The sequence below is a fragment of the Homo sapiens genome, chromosome 1 (assembly GCF_000001405.40).
Source record: "Homo sapiens chromosome 1, GRCh38.p14 Primary Assembly".
NCBI lineage: Eukaryota > Metazoa > Chordata > Mammalia > Primates > Hominidae > Homo > Homo sapiens.
The window spans coordinates 112,446,302-112,473,084 of NC_000001.11; the positions used below are offsets into that span (position 1 = coordinate 112,446,302).

General features: G+C 42.7%; 2 protein-coding genes and 1 non-coding gene across 7 annotated transcripts in view, besides 2 other annotated features; 2 read left to right on the forward strand and 1 right to left on the reverse strand.

Annotated features, from left to right (window-relative positions):
• The window catches only part of CTTNBP2NL (CTTNBP2 N-terminal like), a 70,078-nt gene extending 55,215 nt beyond the window's left edge, over positions 1-14,863 (forward strand). For all 4 annotated transcript variants that reach the window (XM_017001806.2, XM_011541781.3, NM_018704.3 and 1 more), the window contains exons 4-6: positions 2,641-2,871; positions 8,148-8,255; positions 9,630-14,863. In XM_017001806.2, the coding sequence (XP_016857295.1) occupies positions 2,641-2,871; positions 8,148-8,255; positions 9,630-11,111 (1,821 nt within the window). In that variant the 3' untranslated portion in view covers positions 11,112-14,863. The remainder of the gene's footprint in view (positions 1-2,640; positions 2,872-8,147; positions 8,256-9,629) is intronic.
• MIR4256 (microRNA 4256) lies at positions 15,469-15,532 on the reverse strand. Its single transcript, NR_036210.1, has one exon. It is a non-coding gene; the product is annotated as a microRNA 4256 (primary transcript).
• Positions 19,845-19,944: an enhancer, noted in NCBI's record as "active region_1512". NCBI's record gives its function as "activates an Ori minimal core promoter by ATAC-STARR-seq in GM12878 lymphoblastoid cells {active_cell/tissue: GM12878}" and the evidence as "EXISTENCE:reporter gene assay evidence [ECO:0000049][PMID:35858748]".
• Positions 20,125-20,404: an enhancer, noted in NCBI's record as "active region_1513". NCBI's record gives its function as "activates an Ori minimal core promoter by ATAC-STARR-seq in GM12878 lymphoblastoid cells {active_cell/tissue: GM12878}" and the evidence as "EXISTENCE:reporter gene assay evidence [ECO:0000049][PMID:35858748]".
• The window catches only part of WNT2B (Wnt family member 2B), a 63,625-nt gene continuing 57,081 nt past the window's right edge, over positions 20,240-26,783 (forward strand). For both annotated transcript variants that reach the window (NM_004185.4, NM_001291880.1), the window contains exon 1: positions 20,240-21,290. In NM_004185.4, coding sequence (NP_004176.2) covers positions 21,237-21,290 — 54 coding nt within the window. In that variant the 5' untranslated portion in view covers positions 20,240-21,236. The remainder of the gene's footprint in view (positions 21,291-26,783) is intronic.

Below are 26,783 nucleotides of genomic sequence, written 5' to 3' on the forward strand. Positions count from 1 at the left end.
GCTGCAGTGAGCTGTGATCACACCATTACACTGCAGCCTGGTTGACAGAGCCAGACCCTGTCTCAAACAAAAAAGAAAAAAGAAAAAAAAAATTTGATACTTTCAGTGAGTTACAGGTAATCAATTTCAGGTTTTTATAGCTGAATTTAAAGAAACATGGTAAAAGGGAAACATTGATGAGTCCCATGTTGTTTGGCACTGTTGCTTTTAAAATACAACTAGCTTTTTGGTTTTACTTTCAGTATGTTTTATTTATTTATGTATTTTTAGAAACAGGTTCTTCTTCTGTTAACCAGGCTGGAATGTAGTGGTATAATCAGAGCTCATAGCAGCCTAGATCCTAGGCTCAACCAATCCTCCTGCTTCAGCCTCCCAAGTAGCTGGGGCTACAGGCACATGCCGTCATGCCCAGCTAATTTTTTGTTTTTTGTAGAGACAAGGTCTCCCTATTTTGCCCAGTTTGGTCTTAAACTCCTGGGCTCAAGTGATTCTCCTGCCTCTGCCTCCCAAAGTGCTGGGATTACAGACATGAGATGCTGCGGCCGGCTATTCACCATGTTTTAAAATAAGAAGAAGAATGGCTGGTTCTGGAGCTGATCTTTTCTTTCTCCATCCTAAATGGACTGGAGGTTATTTTGAAATTTTACTGTGAATTTCCTTTTTAACTTGGAGCTGAAAAAAGTAGGGTTTCAGCCAGGCGCAGTGGCTCACGCCTGTAATCCCAGCACTTTGGGAGGCCAAGGCGGGTGGATCACGAGGTCGGGAGATCGAGACCATCCTGGCTAACATGGTGAAACCCCGTCTCTATTAAAAAATACAAAAATTAGCCGGGCGTGGTGGTGGGCACCTGTAGTCCCAGCTACTTGGGAGGCTGAGGCAGGAGAATGGCGTGAACCCAAGAGGTGGAGCTTGCAGTGAGCCAAGATTGTGCCACTGCTCTCCAGCCTGGGCGACAGAGCGAGACTCCATCTAAAAAAAAAAAAAAAAAAAAAAAAAGTAGAGTTTCATCTTAGACTCTGTGTTTTATACCTCCCCCACTTTTAATTCACACACACACACACAACACACCATAAGGCTAGAAAGATAGTTATTAGTAACTTAAAGAAATGGATTTCTCTCTTCATATTTCCAGTATACAAATAACATCCAAATACTCCAGTAATGTCATAAAGTAAGATGGCTGCAGTCAAGCCAGAAGTAAAACCCAGAATTTCTAACTGCTTTGAACATTTGCCAGCTGATAAGAACGTAAAATTTTACCATAAGGCTAAGTGATTCCTGGGGCCTAAATTGGACAGTCAATGAAGAAGAAGTCTTCAGATTTTCAGCACTGAAATACTTCTGTGTTAAAAAAAAAACCCATGTTTGCTTTATTTTCTTAAAGTTTCCTTTAAATTAAAGCATAGCCAATGAATTGCAAATTTCCCTTTTTTTTAAACAGGCTCCTATTTGTGGATGGCAGTGCTAAGAAAACATGACTACTGATTAGTTTTTTAAAATGGATAAATAATAGTAGTTTTCATAACCAGATTTAATTTGAAAGCTTAAATTATATAGTACTTTGCTGTGACTTTTTAGTTTCTTCAACCCTGTGTTAACACTTCATTTTTCATTGTAAAATATCTCAAGAAACTTTTAAATATCTGTGTAATAAGTAAAAAGTAATGTACATGTAATGTATGATGCTCATGTGGAGTTCTTCAAGCTCTTCCTACAGAGATAAGGAAAGAGGGAAGCCTAGGAATATCTTTCCACCCACTTCCTGATCCTTATACTCCCAACTGGGTACCCAGGGCTAACGTCCTTGACCAGACTCCAGGCACCAGCTTGCATCCCTTTCTTACATGCTCATCCCCAAGGCTCATCAAGCCTTGAAAGAGACAGAAAAGAGAATGGAAAGTAACAACCAGAGACAAGAAGAGGGGGTGGAATTTGGCAGCAGGTGGAAGAGGTTTTGTCTGCATGTCTGGTTATGAGGTGCCTCCATCCTCCTTGACCCATCAACAACTGAGTAATGGTTCATATGTACAGGTCACAAGTAGTCCTAGATTGTAATGTGATCCTGCTTATATTTTGCACACTTTATATATCTGCTGGCATTTTGTTAGGTCTCTAAATATATAAACTCATAAAATTATCATACTTAACATGTTTTAGAAATGCTAGTACCATAACACGGAAAAAAATAAGATGTACCTGCTGGTAATATAAGCATTCATAAGCAGATATAAGCAGAGTCAGTAAGCACAGAGGTTAAGGACACAGACTTCGGGGCCAGGTTGCCTGGGTTTAAATCCCAATTCAGACAGCTTGCTAGATGAGTAACCAGGAATAGTTTTCTCATCAGCAAAATCGAGATGATAGCACTACCTTACAGGGTTGTAAATTTTAAACAAGTTAATCTGACTATAAATATTTAAAACAATGTCTAATACATAGTGCTTTATAAGTATTTGTTCTTGTTAATATACCATGCCACCTTTCTAATGCTGTTTCTTTAGATGGCTCAATCTGACTTGTAATTAGTAGGTTACATTTATACTAATACCACAACCTTTAATGTATAACCACTGGATAGCAAATCCCCCTTCCTCAGTAGTTTTAAAAAGCAAGATGCTTATTTTTTTTCCTCTTTCCCAGGCCCAACACAGAGATACTTTCATTGAAGAACGCTATGGAAAATATAACATCAGTGATCCTTTAATGGCTCTACAGAGAGATTTTGAAACACTGAAGGAGAAAAATGATGGCGAAAAGCAGCCAGTCTGCACAAATCCACTCTCTATTCTTAAGGTTGTGATGAAGCAGTGCAAGAACATGCAGGAGCGCATGCTGTCCCAGCTGGCTGCTGCTGAGAGCAGGCACCGAAAGGTAGGTTCACCTCAGTTGATGTGTAAATCTTTGTGAAGTCTTTATAAATTATGCCTGATACTTTCTTGTCAGCTGCCAGTTTTTCACAGTAATTCAATTGGGACATCTCACGGGTATCAAAAAGCCCCTTAGTTTATGTAAGAGCCAGGAGATAAAAAAGAAAACACAGCTTATTGCAAATGTTAAGTTTAGAGAACGTGCCAGACACGTTATTTAAGACAGCATTTCTTCTTGATATGTCACTCCAAAACACTTTGTATGTTTTTTCAGTTCTTGATCATTCAAACTTTGGGGTTTGGCCAAGCTTGTAGCTGACGGGAGTGTTCTCTATTTGCTTACTTAAGAGATAAATAAAAAGATTAACAGGTATTTGAGGCATGCTATATCCAAGGGAGAGAAAGAATTTACCTGAGGATAAACACAGAAGCCAATAGATTATTTTCATTTATTCCTATTATTCCTAGTTTTGAGTTTCATTGCATTTTGTTGCTCATGAAACCATAAACAGTCCCTTGGTTTATTTACCTTAAAGGTGTTCTACTCTATTAGTGAGGGGTGTGTGTGTGTGTGTGTGTGTGTGTTTTCCATATTTAACAAGCCCTAAAATAGGAAGGCAAACCTTATGGTTATTTACAGTATTTACTTTAAAGCTGTTCTACCCTATTAGTAAAGAGTGTGTGTGTGTGTTTCCATTTCTAACAAGCCCTAAGAAGGCAAACCTGTGCTTTCCTCTGCTTCATCTTACTGGAATTCTAGTGCTTGTGAATTTATTCACCAACTTGTCATCTTGTCATTTACTCCTCAAATTTGGCCTGTAAAAGATGCTTGGCTACAATCTTCATTTTTAAAACACTGTCAGTTTAGATTTATGCCAACAAGGCAGTTATCAGTGCATTTGGTAGGAAACATTTTCATCTGAAAAATAGGGTTAGCAGCTGCAAAATTTGGTGGACCTTACTTTTATGGTTATCAGCATTAGAGCCATCTTCTTAAATTGCATCTGATACATTTTCTAGGCTCTGGATCTTGCCCGTGATCTTTTCTTTCCCTTCACAGAAGCCAAATGAAAGGCCAGAGTGGAACTTCTTAACCATGGATAGGCCTCAGATGTTCCACAGTCCCCCAGAAAATAGACAGAATGTTCAGAGTTTATGCATTTTTGTAGGAAATGTATTTTTTCCATAGCTTTAATCAGATTCTCCAAGTTACCCAAGACCCAAAAATGTTTAACCTCTGGTTAGAATGAAGTAATCTGAAAACATTTACACTCCAATTTAAAAGGTATCAGTGGGTGGGAGTTAGTTGCCTAAATTGGGTGGAGGGGGAGCTTTTACATAATTCTCTAAAAATCTTCACAACATTCTTGTTTAATAGGCAGGCTTTATTTCCACTTCATCCATGAGGTGACTGAGTTGTGTTGAAGCTAGTTGGGCTAGCTTTCATGCCCATGGAAGGTGTACTAGGGACAGTTTGTGTTTCTAGGTGATTGGAGAGAGGAAGAAGTTAAAAATAATTCAAAATTTCTTAATACTATATTGCAGTGCTAAATGTTTTAAGTGAATATTAAATTTTTGAAACAAAGTACCTATCTATTCTTTTTTTTTTTTTTTTTGAGGTGAAGTCTCACTCTGTCACCCAGGCTGGAGTGCAGTGGTACAATCTTGGCTCACTGCAACCACCACCTCCCAGGTTCAAGTTTAAGTGGTTTATCAAAGTAGAAGACTGACTTTGTTAGAAATCAAACAGTACCTAGAGGCTTATAATTAGGGTGCTCATAGTCTCAGCTTATGCCTGTCACCTTGGCTTAGTTATTAACCATATTCCCTTTGACTGTCAGAAATGTTCTGGTTTGAATAATAAATTACATGGTCATTGTGCTTACAATGAAAAACAGTTTTCTATTCCACCTCTTCTCATTCCCCATCCTCCCCAGTATTCACAGGCAACCAGTTTTTTCTTTTAGCCATTCACTTTGGTAGCTAACCTCCATATTTCTAAATACTGCACTGTTCTCTCTTGCTTTATCAATTTTAGACATTTATATTACTTTCTTTTATATAGGTGCAGATTTAGTTATCTTACACCCCGCCTCCCTTTCCTCTCCTTAACCCTTACCCAGAACAAATTTAATCCTCTTTTCCCACCACCATTCTCTGTCACATCTACTATTCCCAAATCCTGAGCCTGTCACACTATTTCTTGAATGTGACAGGCTCAGGATTTGGGAATAGTAGATGTGACAGAGGCCAGATGCTGATGGTCTGTGTGCAGGAATCAGGGTGAAGGGACAAATAATTCTGAAAATACAGGCTTTGAAGGCCAGACACAGTGACTCATGCCTGTAATCCCAGCACTTTGGGAGGCCAAGACAGGCAGATCACTTGAGGTCAGGAGTTCGAGGCCAGGCCAGCCAACATGGTGAAACCCCATCTCTGCTAAAAATACAAAAATTAGCCAGGCATGGTGGCGTTCCTGTAATCCCAGCTACTCGGGAGGCTGAGGCAGAAGAATAGCTTGAGCCCAGGAGGTGGAGGTTGCAGTGAGCTGAGATCACACCACTGTAATCCAGCTTGGGTGACAGAGCAAGACTGTCTCAAAAAAAAAAAAAAAAACACAAAACAAACAAACAAAAAAACAGGCTTTGAGCCAGTTCTCCTGTTTTCTATTCTACATTTCACCTCTCCTCTGCAGTACCTGCCACCTCCAGGTTCCATCTCTTTGGGGCTCTGCAAGGCAAAACAGCTTCCCTCCTTCAAAGTAAAGTAGTTACCACAACTCCAGCCTCTTTTCTTCTTCAAAATATTATTAAAATTTTTTCTCTGCTAGAGGCTCTCTCCTTTGTGGGGTTTTAGTCTTTTTATTCCATTTCTGTAATTTTTGAGGACTCCCAAAAGGGAGAAGATAAGACTTACCACTTTTGGCCAAAAGCATGTCTTTCTATTAAATTGAAAAATTAGATTAAAAAAAGGAAATGTGCCAAATTTTTTTTCTTTCATTTATTTTGAGAGACAGGGTCTCGCTGTGTTGCCTGGGCGGGAGTACAGTGGCTATTAACAGGTGCGATCATAGCACCCTATAGCCTGGAACTCTTGGGCTCCAGTGATCCACCTCAGCCTCCCTAGTATCTGGGACTACAAGCATACACCACAGCACCAGTCTCTTCTTTTTTTTTTTTTTTTTTTTTTTTTTTAGACAGAGTTTCACTCTTGTTGCTCAGGCTGGAGTGCAATGGCACAATCTTGGCTCACCACAACCTCTGCCTACTGGGTTCAAGCGATTCTCCTGCCTCAGCCTCCCGAGTAGCTGGGATTACAGGCATGTGCCACCATGCCTGGCTAATTTTGTATTTTTAGTAGAGACAGGGTTTCTCCATGTTGGTCAGGCTGGTCTCGAACTCCCAACCTCAGGTGATCCACCTGCTTTGGCCTCCCAAAGTGCTGAGATTACAGGCATGAGCCACCACTCCTGGCCTCTTTTTTTTTTTTTGAGACAAAGTCTCACTCCGTTGCCTGGGCTGGAGTGCAACGGCATAATCATGGCTCACTGCAACCTCGACCTCCCTGGGCTGAGGTGATCCTTCCACCTCAGCCTCCTGAGTAGCTGGGACTACATGCACACCTCACCATGCCTGGCTAATTTTTGTACTTTTTTGTAGAAATGGGGTTTTGGGTTGGGCACAGTGGGTCACACCTGTAATCCCATCACTTTGGGAAGCTGAGGCAGAAGGACCACTTGAGTCCAGGTGTTTGAGACCAGCCTGGGCAACATGGCGACACCCCATTTCTACAAAAAATCAGCAGGCCATAGTGGTGTATGCCTGTAGTCTCAGCTGCTCAGGAGGCTGAGGTGGGAGGATCACTTGAGCCTAGGAGGCAAAGATTGCAGTGAGCCGAGATGATGCCACTGCATTTCAGCTTGGGTGAGAGTAAGACCCTGTCTCCTCAAAAGGAAGGAAGGGGGTGGGGGAGGGAGAGGGAGAGGGAGAAATAAATGGCTGGTCTCAAACTCCTGTGCTCAAGCAATCCTCCTGCCTCTGCCTCCCAAAAGTGCTGGGATTACAGGCATGAGCTCATTTTTATTTTTATAGACAGGTTTCATGTCCCAGAAAATTTACTCTCTTCACTCATAAAAATTTTTAGTGAGAAGACTAAGAAATGGCCTTTGGGACAAGAGTGCTCTACCCTGGAGGTCTGGGCCAAGGCACTTCTGAAGCATGAGCAGAAGCTACTAAGCAATCAGAATATTTGCAGTTGTAGATGGGATTATGTGAAAAATGTCTCTTTAAATTTGTATTCTTGGCCATGTGTGATGGCTCACACCTGTAATCCCAGCATTTTGGGAGGCTGAGGCGGGTGGATCACTTGAGCCCAGGAGTTCCAGACCAGCCTGGGCAAGATGGCAAAACCCCATCTCTACAAAAAATACTAAAATCAGCTGGGCGTGGTGGCGCACACCTGTAGTCCCAGCTACTTGGGAGGCTGAGAGGTGGGAGAATCTCTTGAGCTCGGGAGGCCAAGGCAGCAGTGAGCCATGATTGCACTACTACAGTCCAGCCTGGGTGACAAAGCAAGACCCTGTCTCGAAAAATAAATATATTTGTCTTCTCCTTAAAATTGGGCTTAATCCTTTGGCACCAGGGTAAGTGAAATAGGGGTAGGCAAGTTAAATAAAAGGGCGTATGAAAAATCTCCATTTAAGGTCTCTATATTTGAGCCTTTTTACATGCAGTAGGAAGTCAAGAGAGTCTATCCACCTCTTATCTAACTATATAAAAATGTATATTATTAGTTAAACAAGGCACACTTAGAATGTCACCTATTTGAAATGTTGAATTTCAGGCTCCTTCTTTGGTGCCTCTGGTGATTTGAGAATTGAGAAGAAAATCTCAGCTTTCAGGTTTCTGTGGTCCTGTCTTGCTCCATCACCTACACCTGGCCCCTAGTAACACCAAACTGCCTGCAGTTTCTTGGAATTTCTGTTAATTCTCGACACCTCCTCAACCCCTCTAGCTAATTAGTTGCTCTCTTCTCTCTGTTTGCATATCATTCTCTACATACTTCAAGTAAAGTAAGTATCTTACTGTTTAACACAGAGCTTTCATGTCTTTCACTGTAAGGCAGTGTGCTCCTTGATAGCCCTTGCTGGGTTTCATTTATTCGTTTGTTTGTTTGATCTCTGGAACTATCTAAGGTGCCTGATTTGGCACTTATTATTGGTTGTATTAATAAATGTGACTCCTTGATATTTGAAAATGAAATTTAAAAAATTCTTTAAAGGTGATCCTAGACCTTGAGGAAGAAAGGCAGCGGCATGCACAGGATACGGCTGAAGGAGATGATGTCACCTACATGCTAGAGAAGGAAAGAGAGAGGCTGACTCAACAGGTAATTAAGGTAGAGGGATTCACAGTAGCATTTGCCTGGAACAGCATTTCCCAAAGATTATTCTGCAGGATGCCAACTGGTATTGTTCAGAAAAGGGGCTTTGTGGTCAAATAAGTTTAGGAACTACTGGATTAAGCAAAGTTAAACAGGTTTCTAACTTTGTTAGGATCTTTAGTATGCAGAAGCACATTGTGAGTCTTCAAGAACAAGATAGGGTATTCTGTGTTTAGCAAATCCATGGTTTTATAAAATCTTTTATTGGCATAGATCCCTCACTGTGGGATTATTATTGTTCCGTAGAACACTCTTTGGGGAATGGTAACTTAGCGCTTGTAGCTCTCAAACTTTTGACTTAGAACCCCCAGTAAGAAGTGACATTTTATGTCACAACCCAGTATATGTAGACATACACAGTTACGCCTGAAACAAAAATCTCATGAAATCATATATAACCCCTACTGCTACAGTACACATTGATGTTTTCTGTTTATATATTTTTTTAAAATTCTAGTCGTGGCTCAGTTAGTTTCCCCATCCATTAATGGATCTCAGAGTTTGAAAAACACTGAGTTTCTTCAACCCTTTCCCTCTCACGCAGAGTCTCTGCCTCAAATAGGGTTGGGAAGACAATTAAAACAGGCTATATTTGTGTAAAAAATATGATTCAGGCTGGGCACAGTGGTTCACGCCTGTAATCCCAGCACTTTTGGAGGCCGAGGTGGGTGGATCACCTAAGGTCAGGAGTTTGAGACCAGCCTGACCAACATGGAAAAACCCTGTCTCTACTAAAAATACAAAATTAGGCGGGTGTGGTGGCGCATGACTGATCCCAGCTACCCGGGAGGCTGAGGCAGGAGAATCGCTTGAACCCAGAAGGCGGAGGTTGCAGTGAGCCAATATTGCACCATTGCACTCCAGCCTGGGAGACAAGAGTGAAACTCAGTCTCCAAAAAAAAGTATGATTCAAATGCAACTATTTGTGTGTGTTTGTTTCTGAGACCCAAGAAAATTATTGCTGAAACTTTAAAATGTTTGTTTTCAGCAACATTCATCACAAAATGTGGTTGATACAGCTTTCTGTTATCTTGTTTTGATTGGTTCTGATGCTCTCCACATACGTGAAACACAAAGATACGTCATATTCCCACTAATCACTGCAAGACAGTATGGGAACTAGAAGTGCCTCCCAAATCATCAAAGAAAGATTAAATCATAGTGTGTGCATTTTTTGTGTTAGGTGTTCTAAAATTTCAGAAATACTTGATCTAAGCACTGTGATGTGCATGTTAATCCTGTATACCAGAGAACAGCTAACGAAGACAGTCTACTTGATCACAGTTTGTCAGTATGTCTCTCTTTTCTTTTTTTTTCTAGTTGGAATTTGAAAAATCCCAAGTGAAAAAGTTTGAAAAAGAACAGAAGAAGCTCTCTAGTCAGCTGGAAGAGGAGCGCTCCCGCCACAAGCAGCTCTCATCCATGCTAGTGCTTGAGTGCAAGAAAGCCACCAACAAGGCAGCCGAGGAAGGACAGAAGGCAGGAGAGCTGAGCCTGAAATTGGAGAAGGAGAAGAGCCGGGTGAGTAAACTGGAAGAAGAGTTGGCAGCTGAGAGAAAGAGAGGCTTGCAGACTGAGGCCCAGGTAGAGAAGCAGTTATCAGAGTTTGACATCGAAAGGGAACAACTGAGAGCAAAACTGAACCGAGAAGAGAACCGGACCAAAACCCTGAAAGAAGAAATGGAAAGTTTAAAGAAGATAGTGAAGGACCTAGAGGCTTCCCACCAGCACAGTAGCCCTAATGAGCAATTGAAGAAACCAGTAACCGTGTCCAAAGGCACAGCAACTGAGCCTCTCATGCTAATGTCTGTGTTTTGCCAAACAGAGAGTTTTCCAGCAGAAAGAACCCATGGGAGCAACATAGCCAAGATGACAAACACTGGGCTGCCTGGTCCTGCCACTCCTGCTTACTCATATGCAAAAACCAATGGCCATTGTGACCCAGAGATACAAACTACCAGGGAGCTGACTGCAGGCAACAATGTAGAAAACCAGGTGCCTCCACGGGAAAAATCTGTGGCATTGGCCCAAGAGAAACCAGTGGAGAATGGTGGGTGTCCTGTGGGGATTGAGACTCCAGTCCCAATGCCCAGTCCCCTCTCTTCCAGTGGGAGCTCACTGTCTCCCAGCAGCACTGCCTCCTCCTCTCTAACATCCTCTCCTTGCTCTTCGCCGGTACTCACTAAGCGTTTATTGGGGTCATCAGCTAGCAGCCCTGGCTACCAGTCATCGTACCAAGTAGGGATCAACCAACGGTTCCATGCAGCTCGCCACAAATTTCAGTCCCAAGCAGATCAGGACCAACAAGCCAGTGGCCTACAGAGCCCTCCATCCAGGGATTTATCCCCCACCCTCATAGACAACTCTGCCGCCAAGCAGCTGGCCCGAAACACAGTCACTCAGGTGCTCTCCAGATTCACTAGCCAACAAGGGCCAATCAAGCCAGTCTCTCCCAACAGCTCTCCCTTTGGCACAGACTATCGAAATCTAGCCAACACTGCCAATCCAAGAGGTGACACAAGCCATTCACCTACTCCAGGGAAAGTGTCCAGTCCCCTGAGCCCCCTGTCTCCAGGAATCAAGTCCCCAACCATCCCCAGAGCTGAGAGAGGAAACCCTCCACCCATCCCACCCAAGAAACCTGGCCTCACCCCTTCTCCATCTGCTACCACTCCATTGACCAAAACTCATTCCCAGGCAGCCTCTTTGACCACTGCAGAAGACCTTGCCAGCAGCTGCTCTTCCAATACTGTTGTAGCAAATGGTAAGGATGTTGAGTTACTTTTGCCTACCAGCAGCTAGTCCCTAGGAGGGAGTCTCCACGTTTGACATTCCATCAGATTTCGTCCAAAAGCTCAGTCAGACTTCTGAGTCAGATTATGTTATTTATTTTGATAGTAGCTGAAACCATCTGTATAATACATTTAGTATATTTCACCATTTTGTATTTTTTTAAGTAGAAACTGAGTAGTTTGGATTTTTATGGCTCACATCTTTTTACTGAAGCCAGAAAGGCACCTCAAAGATGTCTCAAGCTCAGCAGTCACCGTCATGTTGTGATGAAGAAAGCGAATCACCAGGTGGTGATTTGCTATCTATTTGAGAACTAGAATCACTCAACACTCATTTTGAATTATGCAGAAGTGGTTCATGCAGATTTTTATTCCAGATGAACATGTTTTAAAAGTGCCTGAAATATGACTGCCATATGAATGTGATTCTGCAGCAAAAAACACAAAATAGATCATTTAATTACAGAAAATGAGATCCTCTGTGAATTCTGAATGTTAAAAACCAACACTGCTTTTAATCCTCTTTTAATGTTTTAATACAAGCTTTGTGTTCTGAAACAAGGCTGCATAAGTAGAATGGGAATCCTTCTAAAGGTGGGTGTGAACTCACCACAAGCTGAGCTTTATAGAGCCCTTGAGAAACCCTCCTGAGCACTAAGCAGTTGGGGTGCTGATTTTCTTGTACTTTTGAAAAATTAAGTCACTCCCAGTTTCCTGCATAAGTTCTTGAACAGAATGAAATCACATCTCCATTCAAAAAATGTCTCAAGCATCTACTGTTGTGTAAGGAACTTCTGATTCTGATTGCTGTTACTTGAATAGGAAATGGTTACTCATTCTGTATAAAAGTTTTGCAAGAGAATGAATTTTTTATTCTGTAATCAAAAAGCAATAACTTGAAATTCACTCTGTAATATTATAGGTCAGTCAGAATTATACAAGTTTTACCAAATTGTTACACTTATTCTCCAAGCTGCCAGAACCTGGTATCTGTATCTGTAAAACCAAATTAACTTTTGCTTAAATGGGAAGTATACATATATCTGTATAGATACATTACCCCTTTACATGTTTAACATACACACACTTAAACACATAAATACTAGTGTGATTATATCTTTGGAGTTTGCAATATAGCATAAAGGACAAGTAGAACTGCACATTAAGATTACCTACCGAAGCAACTAGATGTGGCTGGGACACAATCAAAGGAGGAATTTTGTCCACAGGAAGGTGAGGAAATTCCAAATGAAGCCTAGATCTTCAGTATCATAAAAAGGCAGAGCTGGCCAGGCACAGTGGCTCATGCCTGTAATCTTATCACTTTGGGAGGCTGAGATGGGAGGATCTCTTGAGACCAGGTGTTCAAGACCAGCCTCATCAACATAGTGAGACCCCATCTCTATTAAAAAAATAAATAGGCAGAGCTAAACTAACCCCAGTGTCACAAAACTCAACTGGTCATATAAATGAGTGAAACAGGCCTCTCACACAAGCGATGTAAAACAGCTGGGAGCAGTGGGAGCTGTGGCAAACTAAAGTGCCCAAGCCGCATTTAAAAAGGGCATCTGTTCAGCTCCATCTGCTTGCTGCGGTGCAAGAATGCTAAACCAGGATTACCAGTTCTTCACATTTTTTGAAATCCAAATTTTCATGAGAAACATTCTCATTTTTAAATATCAAGAAGTGATTTTAAAATGTTTAAATGGTGCTGGTTAAACAAACACGTCTGCAGCTGGATTTAGCTTGCAAGCTGCCAAGTTGCAACCTCTTTCATTCTAGAAACTTCTGTCATTTTCATCATAGCAAGTCTATGCGGACAAAAGCCTCCAAACTTTCCAACTGTGTAGGCCAGTACAGCTGGCAAGGTTCATAGAATATAATGGCTATCCCCCTCTGCCAAATAAGACTATCCACAACCCAGCTCAGACACAGTGGTTATATGATTTTGTGTCCATACAGGAGAGGCCTTGGTGTCTTCACATACATTCTCTGAGCCAACATCTATCCAGCAGCCCTGACCTCCTGCTATAATTTAAGTCTATTTCCTTTTAATCTAATAAGAGTTGATAGTAAAAAGGCAGGTGATGGAAATCAGTGTATAAATCACAATGGAGTATATTGGCAACTCCACAGCTTATAGTTTGATAAAGGCAAATACATGAAAAATAAAAATGCTACTAATGCCCCAAGGTGTCTATCAAAATGATGTAGGGGGTATCTTAAACTGTCCAAGGCAATCATGCATTGAACTTTATTCCTATGCAGAGCCAAAACGAATAGTGTTGATAAAATAGCTAAACTTTCTAAACTGGAGAGGAGGCTACAGTGCCAGAGAGTTATTGTCTCTTTTGCTTTAAATGGTAATCTTAAAAGTTGCATTGTGCTCTTCCTTTGTTTTGGGATAGATATATATAGAGAGAGATACTATAAGGAAGTTTATTTCTTAGGAAGTGCACTGAATAATGTATTTCTTTTACAGTGTAATATGGGGGTGGGGATATGCGAAAGAAATGTGTATTTTTGCTAGTTGCCTACCTTCTGAGATAAATAAGCACAATCTTGCAATGGATCCAATAACCCAGTTAGGTATTATAGATTAGTATTTAAGTTTGCTGTAGATTGTGTGTGTGTGTGCTAAGTAAAAGTTCCATGATTCACAATTTTAGTATTAACCCATGTTGCAAAAGCTGTTACTGGCCAACAGATTGTAATGATGTGTACCATATAACACAAGCATTAACTAGGCATTAACGTTTGTAAAGCCAAATATACCATGCAGAAGTCTTCATTTTTATAGCAGACTGCATTAAAACAAGTTAAATCTTGCTGTTTGGGGGGAAATAGTCTTGTTTGTACAAAGTGAAAAATGGCACAATTTGGGCATATTTTGTTGGGAAGAGGGGGTGGTGTAGAGGGAGCACTTGACTGTGGCTTTGACAAAACAAATGAAGTCAATGACCCATCCAGGTTAGACTCCATAAGGAACTAAGACATTGATTTTCTTTAGAGTCTTAGAGCTGGAAAAAGCCTTTACAATAATCCAGTCTGTGATTTTTTAAACCTTTTGGTGGTTCTGGACCTTTTTGAGAATCTTAGAAAAGCCATGGAGTTTATCCCTAGAAAAATGAATATGCCTATATGCAAAATTTGTTTGATGGCTTCATAGGATCCAAAGACCCTGAAGCCATCCATGGCTCATGTATTTCTGCTTAAGAAAGCATAATCTTGTTCTGCTCTCTCATTTTACAAATGATTAATGCATCCCTTTTCAACTACTCCAGCGCTGTTGCTGCTGCAATGTTAGCAAATGCAAGCCAGAGAGAAGCACTTGAAAATCCTTTGATGTCTAAAAAATGTTCAAATAGTGTGGATGTTTACATATCTGAAGTTTTCAGCATTTAAGCAAATTAATGATCATTTCAACAAATACTAGCATATCCGGTTTCCCTTAATAGCCTGTCAGCAGTGCTGCCTTGTCAATTTGTGTGTGTGTGTGTGTATGTGTGTGTGTGTGTGAATTCATAAGGAGTGCTTCTGATGCTTAGTCCTTGAAATGGAACTTCAACTGTCTTTCAAAACACTGGCTTCAAAATAGGATGTGTTTTCCTAATGAATCAGAAGTGGGCAATGAGCATTGTTCCACAGGAATAATTTTTAATTTAATTTCTATAAAACTAGTTGAGAAATGAGAGCCTGTCCACCCACCATTTGTGTATCAGTGGCCAATTCATTAGTAAAAATAAAGGAGGGGAAAGGAGACTGGAGTAGTGGTTCTCAAACTTTACTGTGCGTAAGTATAACCTGGGAAGCCTGCTAAAATAAAGATTTCTGGAGATTAGATCCTCAGACTAGCTGATGCAGCTAGTCTGTTTTGAGAAACAGTCCTTCATAGCCCTTACCTGTTCTTTCACAACAACTTGCTATTTGCCTCTGACCTAAGGAAATGTCTTAAGCTCCTGAAACTGGTTTGGCAGAATGTCAGTGATATTCAGAGTCAAGAGTGCCTACTTGAGTACCAAGCACCATGCTAATGATTTCACATACATATTACCTTATTAATCCTCACACGGGTGCTGTGAGGTATTATTATCCCCAGTGTAGTGATGAGGTAGTTGAGGGCCAGAGATCTGTGCAAGGGCCCTTAGCATATGACAGCCAGGATTTAAACCTTAGTGCTTTGTTCTTTCACTACCAGTATTTCCCAAATGAGAGTCTCTGGGGAGGAGCAGATTCCCAGGCTCCTCCCCTGGCGATTCTGATTTCAGTAGGCAAAGGTGGAGCTCTAGATAAATGCCTTGGTGATTCTTCAGATAGAGCAAGTTTAGAAAATGCATGCGGGACACCATGCTGCTCCACAGCCACCCCAGAAATGGATCATCAGACCTAATCAATGCCAGGAGACCTTCATCAGGTCAGATAAATGGAACAAAAATAAAACATCATTAATTCCCCTCAAACAACATGTTTTTTAAGTATCTAAGATGAACCAGAAAGCAAGGTGCTTATTAGGGAAGACACAAGTTTAATCCTGTTCCCTGCCCTTAGGGTACTCACAATCTAGTTGGGGAAACAAAACATTAACAAAATGATACATAGTGAGTCCAGAGGCAACAGTTTGATAGAATAATGCAGGCGAGCTTTTAAAAACCACAGGGAGGGCCAGGCGCGGTGGCTCTTGCCTGTAATCCCAGCACTTTGGGAGGCCGAGGCGGGTGGATCACGAGGTCAGGAGATTGAGACCATCCTGGCTAACACGGTGAAACCTCGTCTCTACTAAAAAATACAAAAAATTAGCCGGGTGTGGTAGCGGGCGCCTGTAGTCCCAGCTACTCGGAAGGCTGAGGCAGGAGAATGGCGTGAACTCGGGAGGCGGAGCATGCAGTGAGCCGAGATAGCGCCACTGCACTCCAGCCTGGGCGACAGAGCAAGGCTCTGTCTAAGAAAAAAAAACCATACACAGTTATTGAAGATGGTTCTGGTAAAAGCACTCTGGTAGCTCAGAGGTAACAGAGCTCTTTGTGGGCAGGAAAACATTAACTAGAAAGGGAATGAATGTCTTTTCTCCTCTCTCCAGGGCATTATTTACTTGGAGTTCTGTAACATGTCCCTGTGTTTGCTTTTTGTTTTAATTGGCTTGTCTTGATTCTAGGATAAGGTCAGAGACGGAGGCACAAGACGTCCCCAAGAGGTGAGTTCTGTTTCAGGGAGACTGACAGACACCAGTGGGTGCTTTCTTCAAGGGTTGGGGCTGACCTAAGAAGGAGCTCCCAGGCCACAGCATTCTGCAATACACTGTCCAATAATTTGTAGGGAAGATCTAGGAACATGCAAAAGGCAGTTTGAAAAAGGACCTGGTTGCCAAAGTACCATATTACCCATCAATGTCCTCTCCTACCCATTTCCCTTTTTCACACCCTCTAAATCTCTATAAGCAAATGCGGAAAATGCAAACTAAGCTTTGAACAGAATCAAATGAGTCCCTCTGGGACACTTGCAGGGGACTTATTTCTTCCGAAGGATGTGACAGCAGCTTCTCCCAATAGTGGCAGCGTTTGTTTCACTGTTAGACTGGAGGAGCACAAGGAGCATACAACATGTGGCTCTGTCCACACCACTGTGAAGTTGTTGGTTCTGAGAAATTACTGGGGGGAGTGTTAAAACAAGATTGGCCTTATCTCTGGGGAGTCACCTGTTTAACCTGACAAGAATCCTGCTCATTAACTCAATGTGTTAGACACTAGGATGTGCCACATGGGTTCCCTTTCAGGAGTGAAATTTAATTCCCTAGGTGCAGGGAATGCTGACAGTAAGTGGCCCTCAAGATATAACCCCTTATAGGAATTACCTTCACTGAAAGAAAATCAGCTTGACCAAAGTCACAGCTCCTTCCCTGGACAGCTCATATATTAATACAAAGACTGGGCATGGTGGCTGACACCTGTAATCCCAGCACTTTGGGAGACTGAGGCAGGTGGATCACTTGAGGTCAGGAGTTCGAGACTAGCCTGGTCAACATGGTGAAACCACATCTCTACTAACTAAAAAAAAAAAGCCAGGCATCGTGGCACAGACCTATAATCCCAGCTACTTGGGAGGCTGAAGCAGGGGAATCGCATGAACCCAGGAGGTGGAGGTTGCAGTGAGCCAAGATTGTGCCACTGCACTCCAGTCTGGGTGACAGAGCAAAACTCTGTATCAAAAAAAAAAAAAAATACAAAGACTGATTGATGTAGAGTTTATACTAACCCTCTTGTCCCAAATTAGGAGAACTCCGAAGGTTCATCTCAGCTTCAAAACCCCCTTTAGAGTTGCCTGAGACCTTTATTGAGACTATATTGCAGATCAACTTCTCCCTCTGCCCAATCCTGCTCCCATCCTGCTTCCATGCCCTAGGTGCGGATCCCAAGGGCACTTCCAAGTAAGCCATCTCCATCGTAATCTCCATCTCAGTCTACTCTGTTCCTTTGGTCATGATGAAGTCCTCTAAAGAAGGGAGGACACATTTTCTGAGTATTTATATAGTGCCAAGCTCTCAATCAGGTATTTTACACGTTACTTCATTTAATCAACAACTACGAAAAGAGGCAGATAATCCCTACTTGACAGATGTGATCATTAACTCCTGCTGAGACACAGTAAATTGCCCAAGGTCCTACAGCAGAGCTGAGATTCAGTGTCAGCTGGGATTCCAATCGTTGAAACCCTATTTGGCTTTCAAGTCCACTCTCTTTCTGCTGGCCACACTATAGTATCAAAACAGTAATAATACATTTGGGGAGTTTGGAATATTGACTTTTTGTCAGTCAAATACCCAAGTATAAGTCCACTGATCAGCTAGCTTTCTTTGAGACCTTCAGCTAGAAACAAGATACTGAAGGAATTGGGTTTTGGTGCAGAGAAAGGAAAAGGATGATTTCCCTACACACGTGGAGTCATCAGATGTTAGAGCTAGAGCTCATCATGGAGGAGACCCTCATAATCGAGATGAGGAAAATGAGCCCTAGAAAGGCCAGGGGACAGGCCCAATTGTGCATGTCTAGTTCACAGCAAGGCCTGGCCTGTACAGAAAGTCCGGCTCCCTCATCCTGCCTCAGCCAACTGCTCCTCCCCGAGCTGACCTGAAACCAGCAGTTCCTAGCCCAGCCCTGGCTGCTCCCTGGGGCACTCCTTCCCTCTCACCTGCTCTACCATGTCTGGCTTTGATCTTGTTCACCTGGGCTGCCCCATATTCCAGGCCCTGCCCTCTGCCTAGGGCTGTCTGCCTGCCACACTTGTTGCCACAAAAATCCTGTCCTCATGTCTCTGAACAGGTTTGACGGCTGGAGCAAGGGTAGGAGGGGGGAGCATGGTGGGGCTTCTCTTCCCAGGCCGTGCCTCCATCTGTCTAGAACCAGCTCTGGGAAGCACTCATCAGGCATGTCTTGCTCCTCAGGTCAGGCATGGACAAGATGCCACCAAAGTCCTGAGCATCTAGCCCCTCCCTGCTCGGGAGTCTGACTTGCCACACCTGCTTGTGGAGGAGGGAACAACTGAATGCTTGAGGGGAGACACCTCCTCCTCCTCCGACGCCTTCCGCACCTGAACTCAAACATAACAGCTCTGCTGGGAAGGGGCTTTTGCGTTTTTAAAGGACTTATCCATTTCCCTTCTCTCTAGTGCCCACCCTCCCACTCCCCCGCTCCCTCAGCCCACCCAACCCAAATCAAAGCCTTCTAGGATGGTTTGTGCCTCTGAGCAGACAGGGTGTCCTCAGGAAGACCCTGATCCAAAGGGATTCGGGGTGGTGGGGTAGTTTAGGGGTGGCGACCAAAGCACACAGGCCCCTTCTTCATCCCTAGCGTGTTTTCCTTCTCCTGAGTCTTGGTGAGTCAGAGCCACAGGGCCACACACAAGGCTACTATTCAGGGCTCGTTTTCCTTCCCCTCTACTCAGATCTTGGCATCTCTCACTCCTTCATTCTCTATGTGGGCCTTATTCTCACCATGGGAAAGCTCTGCTCCCTGCCCTGTGCCGCCTCACTTTCCCCCAACAACCCACCCAACACACACACACACACACACACTCCTCATCCTTGCCTTTTGAGAGTTTGCAGGCCCAGCTGGATACAAACATACAGGAGGTAGAACAACATAGAAATGTTACACCAACAAATCCTTATTCACATACTCAACCGGTTTTATTGCTTCTGGCTCCGTGCAGACCTCAGCCAGCTTGAGAAGGGGACACACACCACACACTCGCTGTGCTTGCCCTTCATCTATTCAGCATATAGTTATTAAGTACTGACTCTGTGTCAAGCAAGCATCATGCTAAGGGCTGGCATTTACACTCTGGTGGAGAAACATGTCTCAAAGAGGTGACTCTCAGGGTTGTGCAGGGCAGGATATTACAAGTGTTCCAAATGAGGGATGGGGCCCCTAAGATTCAGGAGAGCTGGAAACCCGCGGGTCTAGAGACTTAAGAAGCACCTGCTTTAAATAAAAGGGAGAAGGAGATCGGTTTGCATTGATAGGGTTCTGGGTACACTACAGCAAGGAGTCTGAGCAAGAAAAGCAGTTCAGAACAGGAGCTTTGTCGGTCCGTGCGCAACCTTGGACGAGTGAGTGAACCTCCGCCACCCTCCATCTCAGCATCAGTAAAATAAAGATGGGAACCTCCCTCTCAGGGTTTTGTGAGAATCCCGTGAGATAAAGCAGGCACGTGCCTAGCACATAGTAAGAACTCCATGGGTTTGCTGCTCCCTTTGTGGAGCGGCGCTGTGGGTGAAGGGGCGGTGATAGAAGTTGCTTGTCTAGATTGGAAGCCATGTGGTTCTGACGCCAAGGCCCGGCTGCAACGTGCCCGACGGGCTACTCCGGGCTGGCAGCCCCGCCCTTCTTCGGAAAGCTGACTTACTTGCGCCCCCTGGTGTTTCACATGCTGTGAATCTCTCACGACCGAGGTCTGGCCGCGCGCCACCTCTCTGAGGGAAGGACAGGGTCAGTGGCCAGGAAGGGGCCCACTTCAGACGCCGGCGTAAACGAGGATGCGCCTCCTCTCGTCCCCGTGCTCAGCCGCCTCCCTGGTGTCTAAGTTCGGAGCACAGCAGCTTACCCTGCCTGAAAAGCGGAACGAAGCCTAGACTGCGTAAAAAAAAACAGAGAACAGAAACCACCTCACAGCATTGTTGTGAGCCTTAAATGAGCAAATTTAAGACTTAAAACTGGTCATTGACATAAGCCTTCAAAAAGTGATAGCTATTAGTATTATGTAGCTCCTAGAACAGTGGCTGACATATAGTAGATGCTCATAACTGTTAAAAAGGGGCCAGGAGGATTCTATCTATTTATGCATTCATCCATTTAATTATGCTTCAGAAATGTCTTGCTCTTTTTATACTGTCGATGCTGTAAAATACAAAACCCATAATAAGCCAAGTAAGCAAGCAAGAGCCAGCACTCTGGGAGGAAAACAAAGAGATTTTCTTCATTGAAATATCCATGCCACAGTTCCTACTAGGTGCCAGGCACTGTGATAGGCACTAGGATAGAGAAATAAGTTACAGGCCTTTAGGGATTTTAGGTGCTGGTGGGAGAGACAAACATGAAACGCAGTGTTATGTGGATTATAATAAATAGAGCAACAAGCTGTGGCTGCACAGTTAACCCCCAGTGGAGTCAGGAAAGGTCTCACAGAGGAAGGGACACTTGTCTTGGTCTTGAAGGAGAGGTAGATGCTCCCAGGTGAAGAAGAGAATGAAGGGCATTCCAAGGAATGAGGATAGCATATACAGTGCACCAAGTTGCCAGCAGGCACCGTGTTTCTGGTGAGAAGCCTGGGATGGAAGTCTAGATCAGGAGAAGTAAGCAGGAACTCGACAGGAAAGGGCATGGTCTGCCCAGGCAAAGAATTTGTGCCCTTATTTGGTGGGCCACTGGAAGCCTGAATTGAGGAGCATCATGAGCACAGGCACATTTACCAAGAAGCTAATGAGGTTTAAGCTTCGAGGCCCATCACTGGCATGGCCCCTTCCAAACCCTGAAGAGCCCAAGCAATGTGGTTGTAAAATTTGCAAAATAAGATTAAATCTTAACTGCAATCTGTTAACACTGCTGTCTCCTTTCACTCTTTCTCCTATATCACACTTTCCCACATGTTGGATGGCCTTGGAGTGGTAGCCATAAGCATTTTTGGAATTCAACTAAAAGTAAGTTGAATGAAGCACTACTTTATTTAATACTTGTACCTAATTTTCTCCTTTTCTTCTCGATACATAATACTTTACATATTTATGGGGTATATATGATCATATACGTAGTATGTATAATGGTCAAGCTTGTTATACACGTAGTATGTATAATGGTCAAGTCAGGATATTTGGGGTATCCATCACCTTGAGTATTTATCATTTCTATGTGTTGGTATCATTTCAAGTCCTCTCTTCTAGTTACTTTGAAACATACAAAGTATTGTTGCCAAGTATAGTCACCCTATTCTGCTATCAAACATTAGAACTTATTTCTTCTATCTAACTGTATGTTTGTAACCATTAATCAACTTCTCTTCATTCCCCTCCCACCAACCACCCTTCCCAGACTCTGGTATCTATCATTCTATTCTCTATGGCCATGAGGTCAAGTTTTTTAGCTCCCACATATGAGTAAGAACATGCAGCATTTGTCTTTCTGTGCCTGGCTAATTTCATTTAACATAGTGACTTCCAGCACCATCCTTATGGCTGCAAATGAGTTGATTTCATTCTTTTTTATGACCAATAATATTCCATTTTGTATCTATACCAAGTTTTCTCTATTCATTCATCCGTTGATGGACACTTAGGTTTATATCTTTGCTGTCATGAGTCGTGCTGTAATACACATCTGAACGCAGGCATCCCTTTGATATACTATTTATTTTCCTTTAGCTAGATACCCAGTAATAGGATTCCTGGATTATGGTAGTTCTATTTTTAGGTTTTAATAAATCTCCATATTGTTTTCCATAGTGGTTGTACTAATTTACATTCCCACCATCAGTGTATAAGAGTTCCCTGTTCTCTGCGCCCTCATCAGCCTCTGTTATTTTTTTCTTCTTTATAATAGCCATTCTAACTGGGGTAAGACGATATCTCATTTTGGTTTTGTTTTGCACTTCCCTAATGATTCATGACATTGAGCATTTTTTCATGTATCCATTGGCCATTTGTCAGTCTTCATTTGAGAAATGTCTATTCATGCCAGTTTCCCATTTTAATGGGATTATTATTATTATTATTATTTATTGTTTAGTTGTTTGAGTTCCTTGTATATTCTGGAATTAGTCACCTGTTGCATGAGTAGTTAGCAAATATTTTCTCCCATTCAAGAGGTTGTCTCTTTACTCTGTTGATTGTTTCTTCTGCTACATAGAAGTTTTTCCATTTAATACAGTCCTATTTGTCTATTTTTCGTTTTGTTGCCTGTGCTTTTGAGGTCTTGGCCATAAAATCTTTGCCTAGACCAATGCCCTGAAGAGTTTTTCTTATGTTTTCTTCTAGTAGTTTTATAGTTTTCCATCTTACATTAAAATTCTTAATCCATCTTCAGTTGTCTTCTGTATATAGTGAAAGATAGGAATCCAGTTGCATTCTTGTGCATATGGTTATTCAGTTTTCCCAGCACCATTTATTGAAGAGGGTGTTCTTTCCCCATTGTATGTCCTTGGTGATTTGTTGAAGATGAGTTAGCTGTAAATATGTGGATTTATTTCTGAGTTTTCAATTCTGTTCCATTGGTCTATGTGTCTGCTTTTATACCAATACCATCCTGATTTGGTTACTAAAGCCATGTAATCCATTTTGAAGTGAGTCAAGAAGTGACTCTGAAGACACATCTGAAGATAGTGTGATATATCCACTTTATTGTTTTTGCTCAGGATTACATTGGCTATTCTGGCTCTTTTTTGGTTCCATACAAATTTTAGTATTTTTTTTCTATTCTGCGGAAAATGACATTGGTATTTTGATGGGGATTGCGTTGAATCTGTAGATTGCTGCAAGCAGTATGGTCATTTTAATAATACTAATTATACTAGTCCATGAGCATGGAATGCCTTTCCATTTGTTTGTGTCATCTTGAATTTTGTTCATCAGTTTTATGTAGTATACCTTGTAGAGATCTTTCACCTACTTAGTTAAGTTTATTCCTAGGTTTTTTGTTGTTTGTTTGTTTGTTTTTTAGCTATTGTAAATCAGATTTCTTTCCTTTTTTTTTTTGAGACGGAGCTCTGTCACCCAGGCTAGAGTGCAGTGTGCGATCTCAGCTCACTACAACCTCCGTCTCCCAGGTTCAAGCTATTCTCCTGCCTCAGCTTCCCGAGTAGCTGGGATTACAGGCACATGCCACCATGCCTGGCTAATTTTTGTATTTTTAGTAGAGATGGGGTTTCACCGTGTTAGCCAGGCTGGTCTCAAACTCCCAACCTCAGGTGATCTACCTATCTTGGCCTCCCAAAGTGCTGGGATTACAGGTGTGAGTCGCCGTACCCGGCCTATTTATATCTTCTTGTACTATGTCTTCAAAAATTGTTGTGATTATTATTTCTGAGTAGCTCATCTTTTAGTCATTCTACTCAAGATATGAGTAGTTTACACACCACAATTACAGTGTTATGATATTCTGTGTTTTTCTGTGTACTTCCTATTACCAGTGAGTTTTGTACCTTCGGATAATTTTTGATTGCTCAATGACCTTTTCTTTCAGATTGAAGAACTCTTTTTAGCATTTCTTGTAGGACAGGTCTGGTGTTGATGAAATTCCTCAGCTTTTGTTTTTCTGGGAAAGTCTTTATTTCTCCTTCATGTTTGAAGGATAATTTCACCAGATATAATTTTCTAGGGTAAAAGTTTTTTCCTTCAGCACTTTAAATATATCATGCCACTCTCAGCGGGGTGCGATGGCTCACCCTTGTAATTCCAGCACTTTGGGAGGCTGAGGCGGGTGGATCACCTGAGGACGGGAGTTTGAGACCAGCCTGGCCAATATGGTGAAAGCCCATTTTTGCTGAAAATATAAAAATTAGCCAGGTGTGATGGTGCACACCTGTAGTCCCAGCTACTTGGCAGGCTGAGGTGTGAGATCACTTGAGCCCAGGAGGCAGACGTTGCAGTGAGTCAAGATCACGCCACTGCACTCCAGCCTGGGTGGCAGAGTGAGACTCGTCTCTAAATAAATAAATAAATAATAAATCATGCTGCTATGGTGTACAAATGGGGGAAAGGCGTCCGCTCTCTATGCATGAGCCTAAGCACTGAGGCTGCTCCACCAGTGGGGGTAGGGTCACTGCCCAGGCCCCAGACAGTCAGCTCTCAGGCTCACCCACTTGGGCTCCTGGTGGCAGCAACTGCTGCATTTGTGTGGGTGTGGGGGAGGAAGGGGAGGCGGTGGGATGGGTGGAAGGAATTCCACTTTCCGATTATGAGCCCCAGAATAGAGTCTGTGCCACTGCTGGGGGCAAGGTCGCTCTCACAGGGTCTGGAAAGTGTCTGCTCTGGCTTACTGTGACTGTGTCCCAGGGGCTTCCTCCTTGGTGTGTGGCACCATCCTTTTCCTGAGGAGTAGTAGTTCATGTGGGCCAGGGTACTGGGGACCCTGTGCACATTTGGGTCCAGCCAGTGCTGTGCCACTGTAACCCTCTGAGTGGACACTAAGGGACATCAGTGGGGGATTCTGAAATGTGGACATAGGAGGGTGTGGTTCCCAGGGCAGGATGCAGTCCAGTGGTGGCTGTGCTTTCACAATGGTGCTGTGCTGCAGCCACGTACGTCTTGGGGAAGCATGTGACCCTGCATGAGTCCCCTGTCTGGTGAGATGCCCTGACAGGGCCTCCAGACCACCACCCACACTAGTCTCAGAGTTTGTATGGGTAGAGGAGCTCTCTCATGGTTAGGACTGCAGCAGTCTGCAGCAGGGATGTGTATAGCAGAGGGATTCTCACCGCCAACCTTGGCTGAGTTGACCACTCACTTCCTGCTCCATCTGTGCCTCAGGTATTTCCCATAACTTCTCTGTTGAACTCCAGTGTTCTCTCCTAGATGTTCTATTGGAGGTATGATTATCTATTCACAATTATTGATTCCTTCTTTAAAGAGTGAGTGTCTAATGTCTCTAGTCAGCCATTTTGAACCCCTATCTCAGTTTTTTGAGAGATTTCTGTGGTTTGCCGTCACTTCCATGAGTTTATGCTAGCCACGCCAATAGGAATAGCTTCTAGGAATACTCCCATCAATCCATGTGCTGCCTGACCTGACATAATGACATGAAGCAGCAGTGCCAAAGGTTGTATTCTAGGAATATACCCTGTAGTATCTGGCACTAAAAGTAAAGTGGGAAGCAAAGGAGAAACAAGTTTGGAATATGTGGAGCCAGAACACATCTATAGAAAATTCATCTAGTTCTCAGCTGTGTAAAATTATAAGTGGGCAATTAATTTCTTATTAAATCCTAGCCAAAACAAAATTTATCTCTTGCCAAGGAAACTGGTCAGTGATGCAGTGTACATAATTATAAATGCAGCATACATATGAAGATGTAATCAAGGAGTATGAAGTCAAAAGATAGATATATGGTTTTTTATTTTCAAGAATTCTACTTCTGACTTCAAAATAGAGTAACAGGAACTGGATTTATTCTCACACCTAAAAAAAAACTAAGCATTAAGCCAAATATATTAAAGACATTGACGATCAGACAACAAAGGACACAGATGGGAAACAAAGTGAGTCTTATAATTGCCCCCCAACAGGAAGGAGAATTCCAGGCATGGCCTCATGATCTCCTTAAGTTCAGGAGGTAAAGCTGGGAGTCTTGGGAGGGAAGAGTATTGGATGTAAGACAGCTTCAGTGAGAGAGATCACCAGAGGATGTGAGAGGCCTCCCCTGGAGTCTTCAACTAAGTGCTAATCAGCAAATGTATGAGGAAACTACCCAAGACCAATGAGAGAACCACCCAAAAGGATTAGAAGAAACTACTCAGAGATCTCATGGGACTGGGAGTAGTTTCTGTTCTCATTAGCGAAAAATGAAAAATCTCATAATTTGCAGCACATTCAAAGAGTCTTCAGAGTTTTGTCTCTATAGTGGGCCAAAATAAGCCCTAGAATAAATGATGCTCTGTTCCCACCAACCCCCAACCAATGAAAAAAAAAAAAAAAGACTCAAAAGGATAAAACTGTTTCTAAATAACTATGTCTCAGAATAAAGCTCAAGAATATGTATAGGAAAACAAAAATGTCCAGCAGTCAAAAGGTAAAAATCACAATGTCTGGCATCCAATAAAAAATTACAAAGAAGTAGAAAAATATGGCAAATAATTAGAAGAAAACTCAATCCTTGAAAATTACTTCAGGGTGGGCAACATGGAGAAACCTTGTCTCTACAAAAAATACAAAATTTAGCTGGGTGTGGTGGTGTGTGCCAGGAGTCCCAGCTACTCAGGAGGCTGAGGTGGGAGGATCACTTGAGCTTGGGAGATTGATGCTGCCGTGAGTTGTGATCATGCCACTGCACTCTAGCCTGGGCAACAAAGCAATACTAAAAAAAAAAAGGAGAGAAAGAGAAAGAGAGAGGGAGGGAGGGGAGGGAAGGGGAGAGAGAGAGAGGGAAGGAGGGAGAAAGGGAGAGGGAGAGGAAAGAAAAAGGAAAGGAAGAAAAAGAAAGAAAGA